The sequence below is a fragment of the Homo sapiens genome, chromosome 18 (assembly GCF_000001405.40).
Source record: "Homo sapiens chromosome 18, GRCh38.p14 Primary Assembly".
Taxonomy (NCBI): Eukaryota; Metazoa; Chordata; class Mammalia; order Primates; family Hominidae; genus Homo; species Homo sapiens.
The window spans coordinates 56,014,075-56,031,889 of record NC_000018.10 but is presented as its reverse complement, the minus strand read 5'-3'; the positions used below and the strand labels follow the sequence as shown (position 1 = coordinate 56,031,889).

The window sequence follows — 17,815 nt, the reverse complement described above, 5'->3', positions numbered from 1 at the left end:
GCCACCTCACTGTGCACCTCTTGCCCTTGTCTGGGTAGAGCTTCTTCCCAGGCTCTCAATGACCCATACTGTTTACATCTCCTTAGGAATATCTGTGCTGGTTACAATTCTTTGTTGTTAGCAACAGCAAATAACTGTGACTACTTCTAAATGAGAGAAATTTAATTGATGGATAAGGTATGGGGTAGTTCCTAAAATAAAATAAAATAAAATATGGAGAAAATAGACCTTGGAATGATGAATAGCTCTAGAGATCTAAGTGGCAGGAACTAAGGGACAGTCTTTTCAGTATGCCACCACTGGGATGAATCAATAGCAATAATTTTAAAAAATTATTGTCATGCGGCTTAAAGTTCAAATTCCAGAAAGAGGCTTATATGTTGGCTAATGTTATTTGCCCATTCCTGGCCTGATGAGGGCAGAACATCTCAATTTACAGTTTCACCAGGAGTATTTGCAATGGGGGAGCGAAATCCCCAAAAGGGGGACAGCGGAGCTGTTACCAGAGGGCCAAGGATAGATTCTGGATGAGCAGAACAGATCTCTACTTTAGTCTCCAAAGAAACCTTTCTTCTTCTCTGCATTCCAAACTTAAGCCTCAACGTGTCCCCAAAACAACTGATGCTCATCAAGATGATATCTTAGCTATAAACCCATAAGCCCACAGGCCTGAGGAGCACCTGCCATGTTAGCAAAACTAACATCTTAACTTAAAAATCATTTCATAGCAAAAATTGACTCTGCCTAAGAGTAAGACCAATTCTGCATGGCAGGTGGAATTGCCTTGGGTTTTCTCATGAAGAAATTTAATAAATCAGATTGATGACCTTAAGGCAAATCTTTGAATGTTAATGTGAAACAAAATTCTGATTTCTTATCTTGTTAACACTCCCAAATCATTCACCAAGCTGAGTATTTTAAGTAGCCAAATAAATGTGGCTAAGGCTCATTAGGGCTCTTAACATTTGAGTCGCATAAATCAAGGGAAAAAAGTCTTTTTGGAAGACTCTGTAGTGATATTTAACTGTTTGAGACAATATTCTGAATGTTACTAGTATTATCTGAAAGCTGACATAGCTTTGTATTTCTTATGACTGAATGAACGCTCCACAAACTATACTATATAACCTAGATCAACATGTGCAGCAAACCTGGTCCTAAATTTAACCATAACAGAGGATTTCTGAAGGAAATATAATTCTGGTACTGAAAGAGTCTATTCCATCTCATTCAGTTTTAGATTATTTAAGAATACTTGGATTTCACATTATTTTATAATATTTTGTGCACTGTCACCAAAAAAAATCTTAATGAGATTTTAGTGCCATAGGCCTTTATTGTCTGTTTTTTTGTACACATGGCCAATTTAATTTTCAGCATAGTAGAAAGAAAATTTTTTCACATTGCAAAGGGGAAAACAGCTTGTTAGAATTGGATGCATGACTTTTAGAAACGGAAGTAGGTGCCTTGTTTAAATGTATTATAATGGAATATGGTAATAGATTAATTAGTTCTGGATTTTCCAGCAAATTATTTTGTACTCACCATTCCTCCTACAGGTCCCATAAAATTTTAACAGAAGTTAAAACATGTAGTGATAACCTTTGCCTTCTGTGCCCGTGATAATCATCTGCTCTCTCTCCTATTGATTACCTCACCAACCTGTCAACTTGGATGCCTTGTGCAAAAGACAAACATGCTAACAGCCAGCAAGCAGGCAGGAAGGTAGGGGAGAGGGGCTGTTAGCAGGAAGACTACCCCTGTCCCCAAGAATCAATTGAATTCTTCTTAGTGCTGTTCTCGGGGTGTGTGGTTTGAGCTTGGAATGAGTTACTTACAGTCTGCTCAGAAATACAGAGTCATATGGAAAAGCGGATGCACATTGGATGAACAAAGATTTCCAAAGTATTCTATCTTGGAATTACAAAAGAATGGGGGAGGAAGGGGATTGTGTCTTTGCAAAGCTAAAGGCCTACAGACATTCACTACCATACCTCCTCTTCCCATCCCCTTAGCCATTTCAGTGTTTCCAAAAATAGTACAAATACCCAAGATTTGAGAGTCAGGCCCATCTTAATTTAGTCCCTGCCATTTTATGACCTGGTCCCGAGGGATCCTCTGGGCCAATGGCCCAAATTCTCTCAGCCCGAGTTTCCTTGCAGTGGAACCGTGAGGTGAAGTGAGACAATATATCAGAAGCATTTGGTCTACGTAAAATGTTCCTTTAGCAGCTTTAAAATTAGCTGCCATTTAATGACAGCCCATGTGTCCCAGACACTTTACATGTACTAATCCCAGATAGTATCCACAGAAACAATTCTCATCACCATTTATCATACGGCACACTAAAGTTTAGAGAAACTGAATAATTTGGAATTTGAACTCAAATCTTTGGACTCTAAAGCCTATGCTCTCTACTAGGTTATACATTACTTTTTCTTATAAAGAATTAGAGCCAGTCTGTTCAAGTCCTATGCTCCCACACCAAAATTGGGAGTGTCTAAAACAAAACATTCAAATTCAACATTCTTTAATGGGAAAAAAAATCAAGAAAAGGCACACATAATACCATAGTATATTCTGGCTGAATTACATTTGAAGACTTTGGCTTCAAAAGGGCCCTTCCACGGCACTGTTAGAAAGATTATGCTGTCTTTTTATACCTAGCACCTTTACTGTCTTCAATCATGAAATTAGATACCATTTAATAGTTAAAGATATGATAATTTAATAATAAAATTTGAGACTCCAAAATTTAACCAGGAAAGCAAATTGGAATTCCAGAAAAGTATACCAACTGTCAACATTTCAGAAATATTCTCTTTGTCTTCTTAGTAATAATAATCTTTATAAAATCATTGTTCTAATATAGAAACAGGCAATTTACTACTTCTACCAGAAATACTCATATTGTTTTAGTATCAGGTATATTCTACTCATGTTTCTTAGAACTTCAGGAAATTATTCAAGAAGAGAGGCATGGTGGTATGCTGGAAAGTCTGCTGAGCTTGAAAGTAGGTAACCCAGGCTCCTGTTCCTGTTCTCATTGATGAGTTCCCTGACTTCAGGTGAGTCACAGCTTCTCTGGACTTTCATGTCCTTTTGCAAAGTGAGTCTGATCATTTCTAGGATCTTTTCCAGCCCTGAGATTGTATGAGCTGCAATAGCTAAGAGATATGGGAAAGTGGGTCATTGGAAAGTTGTTTTCCTAACTCCACAGGCAACAATGTGCCTCATTCTTAGTCATCAAAGGCAAATACGAAGGGATGGGAAGCACTCTCTTCACTGTCCATTTGCAAGCAGAATCACTCTTCACTTGATTGTCCAGTGTCTGTATAGTCTCTCACAGAGCCCAGCACATGTGGGCATTCTGTAAATGGCCATTGAGAACTGCCAGGTCTGTGGCTGCTACAGAGCACAATGATGATGATAATGGTGTTGATGATCATGATGATGATGGGCTGGTGTATCGAGGCACAGACCCAAGGAAGGCTAATGAGAATGTTTCTAGGGAAGCTTCCTGCATGTCACTCTTCTTCCTTCTACTTCCTCTAGGTTCATCTTCCCTGACTAACAGGGAGCCAGGGCTATAATAACGGGAAGGAAGTCATCATGTGATTCTACCTAGAAACGCAGGCATCAACTTGAAATGTTTTCTCTTTCTCTTGTAACTCTGGAATATGGCTCCTTGGATTGGAGGTGGCAAATACCACGGGTTAAACAATGTCATTCTGAGCTCTTTTAGTACTGAATAATGCAATATATACCATATTCTACCCTCTTAAAGAAGGAGTGTATCAGCTATGTGCCTGATATGGTTTGGCTCTATGTCCCCACCCAAATCTCATCTTGTAGCACCCATAATTCCCAGGTTTTGTGGGAGGGACCCGGTGGGAGATGATTGAATCATGGGGGCTGGTCTTTCCTGTGCTGGTCTTCTGATAGTAAATGGGTCTCACAAGATCTGATGGTTTTTGAAAACAGGAGTTTCTCTGCATGAGCTCTCTCTGCCTGCTGCCATCCACTTAAGATGTGACTTGCTCGTCCATCGCCTTCTGCCATGATTGTGAGGCCTCCCCAGCCACGTGGAACTGTGAGTCCAGTTAAACTTTCTTCTTTTGTAAATTGCTCAGTCTTGGGTATGTCTTTATCAACAGCGTGAAAACAGACTGATACAGTGCCAAACACCATGTTAGGCATTTTCACATGCATTCTTCTCATTTAATTTTTATAAAACACTGTAAAATAAGATTTATTATTATTAAAGTACAGGTGGAGAAATTGGGGGTCGGTGGAGCGATATTCACAGACCAACAGAGATTGTTAATGGCTTGGGAAGGGATTAACCCTGCTCATCTGATACAGTCCTTTCCATCTTCCTCTAGAGTGTCTACCCCTTTGTTTTCTTGGGGAATGGCATATTCTGGATGAATCTGAACCCTAATACTTTTTAAACCTTGATTACTGCAAGATCAAAAAGGAAGATTCACATTTTAAGGCTCGTTTCAGTTTCTCCAGAAGGAGAGATCTGAATTAACCTTTGGGGTAACTGCTATTTGGTTTGTGGGAAATCATTTGATAGGCATTTTTGTCCATCAAAAGTAAAATTGAAAGGTCTTACTCTTTACACATATTGTGTAAAAGATAGGTTTTTTGTTTTTGTTTTGTTTTGTTTGGTTTGGTGGGTAGAATTGCATCTCCATGGATCATTCCTTTCTGGAAAGATGTTTTCTAAATATTAGTTTTTTTCTTGGGAGATGTATATTTGTTCTTTTCTAAACACTCCCTGTCTGATAGTTACTGGAAGGCTGTAGTTGTGACATGGAAGCATATATTTACCAGTTTATATTATGGTGGAGGCACTGTCCTTGCTGGGATGCCTGGAAGCAACCCTTGCTGTTCTGCTAAAGTCCTTCTGCAGTGTTCTGGAATCCTGAATAACCTAGATTTAGGGTTATGTATTGATGTCATATATTATGCTGTTCCAGTGGATTGTGCTAAAGGGAAGTGCACCCAACCAAAATAAACAAATGAATTAATTTAAAAACAGCAAAATCCAGCAAAAAACAGAATCCCGAAAGCACTCCCTGGGGATCCTTAGAAACATGTGGAGGAGGGGTCCTGTGCATCCTTTGGTGAGGTATAGTGGAAGTTCAGTCTTATGTGATTTGGGCATCAAAGGAAGTGTGACCTCACATGACACCTGGGACGGGTAGGTAATACTTGGAATCAGTTGTTTCCTGACAACTTCATGTTAGGAAATATTGTATTCATTTTTATCCTTAGGAGACTTGTACTTAAAGTGTTTCTGCATATTTTTGCCTCCAAAGTAAAATGGAAGCTTATTCCCATTAAGGATTGTATACTCTTTTTCCTGTGTCCCTCACACAATGAGTAGTTAATAACTGCCTTTGAACTGTAATTGAAAGAAGAAATTTCACCAGATTAAGATTTAGATGCAAACGTTTTGAATGCTTTTTCACTTTCATATCCTGAATAAATTAATGTAAGAACTGGAAAACCATTTCTTAACTCACTTAAATCCCCCCTGCTTGTTCTTTGCTCTCACTTAACAAGTCCAAAAAATATTTTTCATGACTCTTGTCATCTATTTGCTGCAAAATTGCTTTGCCTAGTTACATAGAGCAATGATTGTGAGCAATCTCTGTGGTTTTGAAATAAACTATATTTATAGTAAAACCACTATGCATTTTTACAAATTATCCTATAATTCATTGTCAGGCCAATTTTCAGTGTTCTTATAGATATTAAGACAAAAGACATGGCGTAATTTTCATCACTGCAGCATATTTTATTAGAAAGTCTCTACTGTCTCAGGCCTTTAAAAAATAATAATAATAATAATAATAAACCTATCAACCAAATAATAGTGAATAGGCTGAGTCCAAAAACCAAGTCTCCCAAATTTCCAGTTCTGGAGCAGATTACCACTTGTGCAATATACTTAGAAGCTTTTTCATAATAAACACATTAAAGGCATAAATTATAAAAATGCTTATTACAATTGGTGGTGACAACAATATTGCTTTGGATACAAATAGTCTAATTTATTGCCCTGTAAACCTTAGCCATCTATTCTGGTTAGGAAAAGAGTCCTCACCTGTGTTCTTATTGGTTCATATTTACTTACTAAGGCTGAGAGAATATTTACTCCTTATATAACCATTCAGTAACATGCTCAGTAAAATGGCATTTGCAAGTTCTCCTTTGTTCACAAATTTCCATCTTCATAGCTAATTTTCCAAAATGATTACAGTTAAAAACCATTTTAAGAACTTCTTTCTGTACCTCAAAAATATGTAAAGAAAAGAAGAATCAACATATATTGAGGACCTACAATGCACTAGGCACTGAGATCTACAATATCATATCAGTTGATTATCCTCCTTTAATAGAAGAATAACGGCAGCAAATAGCAAATGTGATGTACAATAATTGAAATGCTCTTATTCTCAGTGGTTTCTTCTTTGCAGTAGCTCAGGACAGCAACCAGACCTGAGATTCTTTTCAACTTATACGCTGTTGATGGTAAGTGCAAATGAAAACCTCAGCTTACAAACCAAAGGTTTTAGCCCTAAGCCCAAATATGTTATAACAAATATCCATTCAAGAAAGAGTCTCTAAAAAGGGATTTTCTCCTCAAAATGGGAAAATAGGTTTTCGTATCCAGACTCATTCAAAACTGATGGTTCTTATACTAAAGCGGGAGGATTTCAACTTGGAATCTGGAGTTGCTAACATGATTTTGTTGTATTTTTAAGAGGGCTTTTGAAGAAGCTCATAGAGTTTCTTAGATATCAACAATGTGGTTTAGATACAGTTTTGGAAGAAGTCTGTGTAAATTAATCAAACCCCTGTGGAATAAGTCTTTAAAAAATACATATAAGATTTAATAACTGGTTTGAAGCAACTTAAAATATTAGGGAAAAGTCTGTGACCATTCTTTCCCTGCTATCTGTCCAACTTTGAGAATTTAAAATCACATTTGAAATGTAATAAAAGCTCTTAAAATTGGCTCATAATCTTGCCAAAAAATTCTCTTTGCTGCTTTCTTTCCTTTTTTTTTTTTTTTTCTTTTAAGATGGAATTTCACTCTGTCACTCAGGCTGAAGTGAAGTGGCGCAATCTCAGCTCACTGCAACCTCCGCCCCCAGGTTCAAGCAATTCTCCTGTCTCAGCCTCCAGAGTAGCTGGGATTATTAGCATCCACCACTATGCCCGGCTAATTTTTGTATTTTTAGTAGAGACAGGGTTTCGCCATGTTGGCTAGGCTGGTCTCGAACTCCTGAGCTCAGGTGATCTACCTAACCAACTAGGCCTCCCAAAGTGCTAGGATTACAGGCAAGAGCCAGTGAGCCTGGCTTTTGCTGCTGTTAGCCCTCCATCATCTTGAACAGAACTCCACTCAATAAATTATCATGACTAGGCACGGTGGTTCACACCAGTAATCCCAGCACTTTGGTTGGCCAAGGCAGGGGAAGACTTGAGGCCAGGAGTTAGAGACCAGTCTGGCTAACATGGCAAAAACATGCCTCTACTAAAAATACAAAAAGTAGCCAGGCATGCTGGTGCACACCTGTGATCCTAGCTACTTGGGAAGCTGAGGCACTAGAATTGCTTGAACCTGAGAGTTGAAGGTTGCTGTGATCCAAGATGGCACCACTGCACTCCAGTCTGGGGGACAGAGCAAGACTGTGTCTCTAATTAATTAATTAATCAAGTCAAATTTGTCACAGAAGTTGCTTTATATAATGAGGGCTTTCAGGAAACCTACAGGGAGATTTATAGCTTCACATTTGAAGCTGATGTATATCAGGAAAAAGTGATTAACAAGATCCTCTCGATCCTATGTCATACTATATACAAAAATTAACTAACTCAAAATGGATATTCAACTTAAATATAAGAGTAAAAACAATAAAACTCTCAAAAGAGAACATAGGAGTAATCCTTCCTGACCTTGGATTAGGTAATGGTTTCTCAGATATGATACAAATAAGTGACAAAAGAAAAAAGTAGATAAATTGAACTTTGTGAAAATTAAAAACTTTTGTGTTTCAATGGACACATTAGAAAGGTTAAAAGACAACGCACAGAATGGGAGAAAATATTTGCAAATGGTATAACTAATAAGAGACTTGTGTCCAGAATATATAGAGAACTTATACCATGCAACAATAAAAAGACAATCCAATTAAAAAATGGACAAAGGATTTGAATAAACATTTCTCCAGAGAAGATATACAAATGGCCAATAAGCACATGAAAAAATGTTCAAAAGCATTAGTCCTTAAGGAAATGCAAATCAATACCACAATGAGATACCACTCCACACCTTCTAGAACGTCTAAAATAAAAAAGACAGATAATAACAAGTTTTGATGAGGATGCAGAGAAATTGGAAACCTCATACTGCTGGTGGGAATGTGAAACGATGCAGCCACGTTGGAAAGTAAGCTTGCAGTACCTGGAAATGTTAAAACATAGAGTTACATGGCATAGCAATTCCAGTTCTAGGTATATAAACAATAGAACCGATGACATATGTTCACACAAAAACCTGCACATGAATGTTCATGGCAGCATTATTCATAATAGTCCCAGAGTAAAAACAACCCAAATGTTCATGAATTGATGAATGTATAAACAAAATGTGTTGTACCCTTACAATGTAATATTATTTAGCAATAAAAAGTAGTGAAGTACCAATAAATGCTACATCATGAATGGAACCTGGAAATATGCTAAGTGAAAGAAGCCTGTCACAAAAGGCCACATATTAGATGATTCCATTTATATGAAGTGCCCAAATGGGCAAATCCATAGAAAGTAGAGTGGTGGCTTTTAGGAACTGAGGAAGGGGAGCATGGGGAGTGATTGCTAATGGGTATGGGTTTATATTGGTAATTCAAGCTGCTGTAACAGAATACCAAAAACTGAATGACTTAAAAAACGAAAATTTATTTCTCACAGTGCTGAAGGCTAGGAAGTCCAAAATCAAGGTGCCAACTGATTTGATTCCTGGTGAGGGCTCTCTTCCTAGCTTGCGGATGGCCGCCTTCTCATTGCATGCTCACATAGCCTTTCCTCAGTGGTGCGTGTGCATGGAAAGAGAGAGAAAGATCTGACTCTCTTTCTCTTCTTATAGGGCTTCCAGTCTTATGGGATTAGGACTCCACTCTTATGACCTGATTTAATCTTATTACCTCCTAAAAGTGCTAGCTTCAAATAATATCACATTGTGGATTAGGGCTTCAAAATATGAAATTTGGGGAGATGCAAATATTCAGCATTTGCATATTTGCAAATAACTCTGTATGATTATTTGCATAACAGGGTTTCTTTTGGGGGGTGCTAAAGATTTTTAAAAATTACATAGTGGTAATACTTGCACAACATAGTAAATATCTAAAAATCATTTAATTATATACTTTAAATGGTAAATTTTATAGTATAGGAATTTTACCTCAATAAAGCTATTATTAAACAAATAAAAAACAAGACCATCTTGAAACAAATAGTTCTTTCTATTTTGTATATTATTGAGGGTGGTGGGTCCACAGGTTTATACAAATAGCAGCTTTTTGCAAAATTCCCCCTCCCTTCCAATAGTAAAAGGCAATCATCCTGGGCTTTTTTGTTGTTTTTGTTTTTTTTTAATGGGGGGGCGCTATCCATAAAGCATAACATGCTTTATGAGTAGGCTTGTTGTTTGTTCATTTTATTATAATCCCTTTGGCTTTTCTGCTAAAGAATACTTGCTCAAGGGCAAGTGTGAAGGTTCAGTATTTTTAGCTTCTAATGACCTCAGAGTTGTTCCTTAATGCTTCTAGGTTCCATGCATGTGTATGTGTTAGCCATGGAGACTGGTCATGTACACACACTTTCAAGGAATTATCTCAGAAGGAAACACTTGAGCAGCAATGGTCAGAAGGGAGTGGGAGCATTTAACATGTTGCTATTGGGATAAATGTTGGATTCCTCATTACTGGACATCCTCTTTGAACATTTACATGCTTCCCATATGCCCGATATACTTGAGCCTTGAAAATATCTTTGGTTTGTTTTGGGCTTGTTCTATAGGACATCGTTAGATCAAACAATAGCTTCTTAAGCAGAAATGCAGGTGCATGTATTAATAAATCCCAACCAATTTATTATGCATCTGCATTCCTAACTCATATAGATGACCTAAGTATGCACAGGCTTTCCTGAACACTCACACCCTGCTCTGATGAGTCATCTAACTCCATATTTGGGGGACTTATTCAAAAAATGATATCTTCATAGATAAAGAATAACTTGATTTATTTCATTATCTACTAGTAGCTAATGTTTGCAAATAAATTTAGACTAAACTGATCATTTTGGCATCTAGTTAGGGTTTCCTAAGATTTCACATACTGTGGTTTTGTCTCATACTACACTGGGTTTGGGAGGTCTTCCTAGAAGGAATAATGCTTAAATGCAGTTTTGAGGGAGAATATGCCTGGATATTTCCAGGCCAAACAATAAGGGGAAGCCACTCTAGGAAGAGGAAATTACATGTGCATGTAAAGTTTGGTGACAATAAAGGGCATAAATGTGGATCAAAGAATGCATTGGAGGAATCATGCAGATTCCACTGGAAGGGCAAACAAGAGTCAAGGCAAAAAAGTGCCTGACTTTGCCCAAATAATTGACACTTTGCTTTGAAATCAATGGAGTGCCATTTGAGGATTTTTAACTGCAAAATGACATAATTAAGGGATTTTCCCCTTTGTTAAGTGTTGTGTCATTTTGCTTTCAGAGTCCACCTTAATGACAAATGGGCTAGGTGAGGATTACATTGAAGGTGGGTGAATATGAAGGCTAGAGACATTATGAGGAGAGTTCTGGTAGTTCAAGGGAAAGGCAATGAGAACAATAATGAGGACATGGAAAGTGGAATGGAAATAATTCAGTGTGTTCAAGAAATAGGAGTAGAATCAAATGGGCCACAGAAGCAAATGAAAGAAAAGAAAGAATTAAGTATAATTTCCAGAGGTCTCCCAATCAAGAAGCTGAATAAAAAAGAGTGTTTGGGGGGAAAGTAAGTTCTGTTGTTGATATGTTGTATTTGAAGTGCTCAGTAGGCAGTTGGAGACATAATTCTGAGTTTTAGTAACATGTCTCATTAGAAATATGTATTTGAGTTGGGTGTGGTTGCTCTCAGCACTTTAGGAGGCTGAGGTGGGAGTACTGCTTGAGCTTAGGAATTCGAGACCAGCCTGGGAAACATAGTGAGACCTTGTATCTACTGAAAATTCAAAAACATCAGCCAGGTATGGTGGTGCCTGCCTGTAGTCCCAGCTACTTGGGAGCCTGAGGCGGGAAGATTGCTTGAGCCTGGGAGACCAAGGCTGCAGTGAGCCATGATCATGCCATGGCATTTCAGCCTAGGTGACAGAGCAAGATTCTGTCTCAAAAAATAAAATATAAATATGCATTCGAGACCTGTTATCATATTTAAGATATTGGAGTAAATGAAGAATCTCAGGGAATGTTAATAGGTGAGCCCTAGGAAAAGGAAGAGAGATGAGAGAAAAGCCAAAGAAGGAAGCTGAAAAGGTATTGTCAGAAATGTCGAAAACAAAAGGAGACAGCGTAGAATAGAAGCAAGAGAGAGTGGTGCCCTCAAAGCCAGGAGAACAGAGAGTGCCAAGCGGAGACAATGAGTGTAACCTGCTCTTTCAGGAAATGGAGGGCTCAACCAGATAAGGAAGTAAATACAGCAGACAGGAAGTGAAGGGAATGGTTTTGTTTGGTTGGTCAGTTTGTTCTTTGATGAGACTTTTGTATATTTATAGGCTGAGAGGAAGAGATAGGAGAGGTTAAAGACCGTATCTAGTTGAGAAGAAAAGATGAACAAATAGCATATCCTTAAAGAGCAATACAAAATAAGTCAATATGTAACAAATGCTTTATGGACGGTGTGGATGTGGAAGATTATGACAGCCTCCAGTGATTAAAAGTTTCAGGAAGGCACAAAGCATAGGCAACCCTACTGAGGATGAACTGTACACCTCTTCATTTCTATTTCCAAATTAAGTGGCTTTGGAGGTAGTCATGCTGTGTCTTTCTTGGATTGATTCTCCATTCTTATTTATAATCATGTTGATGTGATAATAGTATTACCTAAGAGGAAGGCTTACTGTAAGAAAAAAATTGAGAGCAACTAGAAGAGTGCCAGTTAGCATTTAAAGTACATTGGGCTGCTTTTTTTATTGCCAGCTTTCCAACCAATGTCTTGTCCGTAAGCCAGTCAAGTTCACAGCATGACCACCATCTCCCCTCCATTCTCCACCAGTATTTCTATAATAAATTGTATGTCTGGGCAATGTGGAGGTGCTCTCCTCAAGGCTATTTTAAGAATTGTTCTTATAACGTGGTTCATCAGGTATTAAACTAGGTAGAATAAATATAAGGAATTTTTCTTGCATGAAGCTTTTTCTCCACCGGCTGTCAGCTTGGTGAAGAACAATCATAAATCACCCTGACAGCTATAGTGGCTGGTCCAGAGTTGTTCTGCCAAAATGGAGAGTTAGAAATTCACAGAATATAGTCTCATTTCTACTCCTTGCACTAATTGTACCCAGACTGGTTAATGACATATATCCAAGGAATAGCAAAGTAAGGAAATCATGGTTATGCTGACAAAGATACAGAATCCATTTCTGAATGCTGATGGGGTTAGGAAAGCTAATGGGATTGGAGGTGCTAATATGATAAAAACAGTCAAATGATCAAAATGATCAAAAATAGTTCCTACTAAATAGCATTGATATAGCGCATTATAGAACATTTTCATACACAGTAACTCTTAAGTTTTGCATATCAAATCTGCATTAGGTGTTTTTCCCTGTGATACAAAATGAGAAACTGAAGACTACCCAAGTTTCCACAGGCAAGGAGTAGGCCCAGACTGCACACCAGTCTTCTGCCCCAATCCCATCTCCCTGCTTTGGGCCACATTATAACTATTGTTTTCTTGATTTGTGTCCAAAAAGAACACTATTTTCTGATGGTTTCTGCCAGAGTATAAATGCGGTCCTTCCTGCATTGAAATACTAATAGTAGCTCACATTTACTGGGAACTTAAGTTATACCATGCTTTGCTCTAAGGTCTTTATATTAAATCTCTGAGGTAAGTACTATGATAATTCGTATACTAGGGATGATAAATCTGAGGCATTGAGAGGTTAAGAAACTGTCTTGAGGTCACATACCTAGTAAGTGGTGGAGGTGATGAATGCCAAGCCCTGTGCCAAATGCTTTTACATGGATTATTTCATTTAATTTTTATCACAATCCACATTAGTACTCTGCTAGGTATTCACATTCTCCCTATTTTTTGTAGGTGCAAAAGATGTAGTTTAGAAATATGTATTATAATACAGCCTGAATCAGGTCACTTATGTCTTAGTATAAAACAAGTTTCTGTCCACATGGAGCTAATAATGATACCTAAACAGGTAACTTAAATAGTATAAAAAGACATTAGGGACTCTACATAATGAATGACTGAGATCATTGTATCTGACACATTTAACTTCCCAAATATTTCATTCAAATTTTATTTTGGAAGCAAATTCTCAATGCAATTATTCCTTCATTGCTAACATACTATATGGATTATTCTTTTTGTTTTTGTTTTGTTTGTTTTGTTTTTTTGAGGCAAGGTCTGGCTCTGTTGCCCAGGCTGGAGTGCAGTGGCACAATCTCAGCTCGATGCAGCCTCCGCCTCCCAGGCTTAGGTCACACTCTTCCCTTAGCCTCCCAAGTAGCTGAGACTACAGGCACACACCACCACACCTGGCTAATTTTTGTATTTTTAGTGGAGATGGGGTTTCACCATGTTGACTGGGCTGGTCTTGAACTCCTGGGCTCAAATGATTCACCCACTTCAGACTCCCAAAGTGCTGGGATTACAGGTGTGAGCCACCGTGCCCAACCTGTATGGATTATTCTTGATAAGCTAGTTTTATAAACTCCAGTTGTATTGCTAAAAGATAAGACCCTTACAGATGACCTATCCTGGCTTTTGCTGCTGTATTCAGCAGATTCTTACCTTCTGCCTCTGATATGAAGACCTCTAGTTATTCTTCATAGGCTGTTGTGGGCTTGAAAATCAATCAAACATTTCAGAATTGTGGTTAAAGACTAGGCACTTATAAACCTCAGGAACATACACATAAATAAAATATATTTTTAAAACCTACAATTAACTACTATATATAGTAAAATTATAAACAAGATGTCTTCATAAGACAAGAGCAAATTTAAAATGTATTTATACTAATAGAAGAGAGAGAAAGTAGGGAAATCAAAGTATCAAAAATTGTTCATTCATTTAATATTTATTTGTTGAGTGTCTCCAATGAGACAATCACTCTTACAGTGGCAAACACACAAATAAATTCAACACTTGAAAGTGGATTGAATTTCCTAATGAAAGGCATAATATTCATGTTGTAATAAAAATAAAACCCCATTATATTCTCTCCACCAAAGACACACACACAAAGCAAAATAGATTGGGTACACTGGAAATTAAAGGAAAGCTGAGATATTCCCAAGAAAAGGCTAAGAAAAAGAGAGTCAGAGTGGAAATGTCAGTCTTAAAGGAGAAAAGTCACAGAATAAGAATAATAGGGTAACTTTATACTGATAAAAATTATAATTTTTATATCAGGTGTATGAGTCATAAACCATTATATATCAAATAATACTTTATCAAGAAGCATACGTGAAACACAGTTGTATTCTGCCTCTTTATCCTTAGAGGTTTCCATCAAGAATTGACCACATTACACATTCTCATAAGATTATAATGAAGCTGAAAAACACTGTAGTCATTATAGTGTCATGGTGCAACACCTTACCCAATTGACCGTGGTGATGCTGGTATAAATAAACTACTGCACTGCCAGTTGTGTAAAAGCATAGCACATACAATTATGTACAGTACATAATACTTGATAATACTGGTCTACATATTTACTATATTATATTTTAATCTTTATTTTAGAGAAGGCAGCTCCATGCATGTTATTGCTGCTAAAGACCCAGTGGGACAAGATGTGGAGGTAGAAAACAGTGATACTGGTGACCCTGACTCTGAGTAGACCTTGGCTAATGTGTGTGTTTGTGTCCCAGTCTTTAACAAAAAAAAAAAATTTTTAAATAAATACATTTTTAATAGAAAAATATGTAGAACAAGGATAAAAAGAAATATTTTGCACAGCTGTACCATGTGTTTTTGTTTTAAGCTAAGCGTTATTACAAAAGAGTCAAAAAGTAAAAAAAATAAATAAATAGCCCAAATGCCCATGAGTCAATGAGTGGATAAAGAAATTGTGGAATATATATATATATATATATGCACCATGGAATACTATTCAGCCATAAAAGGAATGAAACAATGGCATTCACAGCAACCTGGATGGAATTGGAGACCGTTATTCTAAGTGAAGTAACTCAGGAATGGAAAACCAAACATCATACATTCTCACTCGTAAGTGGGAGCTAAGCTATGAGGATGCAAATGCATAAGAATCATATAATGTACTTTATGGATTTGGGGGAAGGGTGGGGGAGGGTGATGGGTAAAAGCCTATAAACTGAGTTCAGTGTATACTGCTTGTGTGATGGGTGTACCAAAATCTCACAAATCAACAGTAAAGAACTTACTCATGCAACCAAACACCACCCATTGCCCCAAAACCAATAGAAATTAGGAAGAGAGTAGCGGATCTCCCAGCACAGTGCTTGAGCTCTGCTAAGGGGCAGACTGACTCCTGTAGTGGGTCCCTGACCCCCATGCCTCCTGACAGGGAGACACCTCCCAGCATTGGTCGACAGACACCTCATACAGGAGAGCTCTGGCTGGCAGCTGGTGGGTGCCCCTCTGGGACAAATCTTCCAGAGGAAGGAGCAGGCAGCAATCTTTGCTGTTCTGCAGCCTCCACTGGTGATACCTAGGCAAACAGGGTCTGGAGTGGAGCCCCAGCAAACTCCAGCAGACCTGAAGAAGAGGGGCCTGACTGTTAGAAGGAAAACCAACAAACAGAAAGCAATAGCATCAACATCAACAAAAAGGATGACCACACAAAACCTCCATCCAAAGGTCACCAACAGCAAAGACCAAAGATAGATAAATCCACGAAGATGAGGAAAAACCGGTGCAAAAAGGCTGAAAATTCCAAAAAGCAGAATGCCTCTTCTCCTCCAAAGGATCACAACTCCTCACCAGCAAGGGAACAAAATTGGATGGAGAAGGAGTTTGACCAATTGACAGAAGTAGGCTTCAGAAGGTGGGTAATAACAAATCCCTCTGAGCTAAAAGAGCATGTTCTAACCCAATGCAAGGAAAGTAAGAACCTTCATAAAAGGTTAGAGGAATTGCTAACTAGAATAGCCAGTTTAGAGAAGAACATAAATGACCTGATGGAGCTGAAAAACAGCACAAGAACTTCATGAAGCATACACAAGTATCAATACCTGAATCAATCAAGTGGAAGAAAGGATATCAGAGATTGAAGATCAAATTAATGAATTAAAGTGTGAACGCAAGATTAGAGAAAAAACAATGAAAAGGAACGAGCAAAGACTCCAAGAAATATGGGACTATGTGAAAAGACCAAACCTACATTTGACTGGTGTACCTGAAAGTGACAGGGAGAATGGAACCAAGTTGGAAAACACTCTTCAGGTTATTATCAAGGAGAATTTTCCCAACATAGCAAGACAGGCCAACATTCAAATTCAGGAAATACAGAGAACACCACAAAGATACTCCTTGAGAAGAGCAACCCCAAGACACATAATCATCAGATTCACCAAGGCTGAAATGAAGGAAAAAATGTTAAAGGCAGCCAGAGAGAAAGGTCGGGTTACCCACAAAAGGAAGCCCATCAGACTAACAGTAGATCTCTCTGAAGAAACCCTACAAGCCAGAATAGAGTGGGGGCCAATATTCAACATTCTTAAAGAAAAGAATTTTCAACCCAGAATTTCATATCCAGCCAAACTAAGCTTCATAAGTGAAGGAGAAATAAAATCTTTTACAGACAAACAAATGCTGAGGGATTTTGTCACCATCAGGCCTGCCTTACAAGAGCTCCTAAAGGAAGCACTAAATGTGGAAAGGAAAAACCGGTACCAGCCACTGCAAAAGCAAACCAAAATGTAAAGACCATCAACACTATGAAGAAACTGCATTAACTAATGGGCAAAATAACCAGCTAGCATCATAATGACAGGATCAAATTCAAATTCACATATAACAATATTAACCTTAAATGTAAATGGGCAAAATGCCCCAATTAAAAGGCACAGACTGGCAAATTGGATAGAGTCAAGACCCACTGGTGTGCTGTATTCAGGAGACCCATCTCACATGCAAAGACACACATAGGCTCAAAATAAAGGGATGGAGGAAGATTTACCAAGCAAACACAAAGCAAAAAAAAGCAGGGGTTGCAATTCTAGTCTCTGATAAAACAGACTTTAAACCAACAAAGATCAAAAAAGACAAAGAAGGGCATTGCATAATGGTAAAGGGATCAATACAACAAAAAGAGCTAACTATGTTAAATATACATGCACCTAATACAGGAGCACCCAGATTCATAAAGCAAGTTCTTAGAGAACTATAAAGAGACTTAGACTCCCACACAATAATAGTGGGAGACTTTAACACCCCACTATCAATATTAGACAGATCAATGAGACAGAAAATTAACACAGATATTCAGGATTTCAATTCAGCTCT

At 37.9% G+C, this 17,815-nt stretch overlaps 2 long non-coding RNA genes across 3 annotated transcripts in view; one reads left to right on the top strand and one right to left on the bottom strand.

Annotated features, from left to right (window-relative positions):
- LINC03069 (long intergenic non-protein coding RNA 3069) overlaps positions 1-17,815 on the top strand; it is a 187,650-nt gene that overhangs the window by 159,373 nt on the left and 10,462 nt on the right. Inside the window, exons 7-8 of the long non-coding RNA NR_148972.1 lie at positions 2,950-4,093; positions 6,495-6,549. This is a non-coding gene — a long non-coding RNA (long intergenic non-protein coding RNA 3069). The remainder of the gene's footprint in view (positions 1-2,949; positions 4,094-6,494; positions 6,550-17,815) is intronic.
- LINC03092 (long intergenic non-protein coding RNA 3092) overlaps positions 5,789-17,815 on the bottom strand; it is a 29,891-nt gene continuing 17,864 nt past the window's right edge. Inside the window, exons 2-3 of one of the 2 annotated variants that reach the window (XR_001753453.3) lie at positions 14,111-14,162; positions 5,789-8,488 (exon numbers count right to left, since the gene is read on the bottom strand). This is a non-coding gene — a long non-coding RNA (long intergenic non-protein coding RNA 3092). The remainder of the gene's footprint in view (positions 8,489-14,110; positions 14,163-17,815) is intronic. The other variant, XR_001753454.2, reaches the window with a different exon arrangement.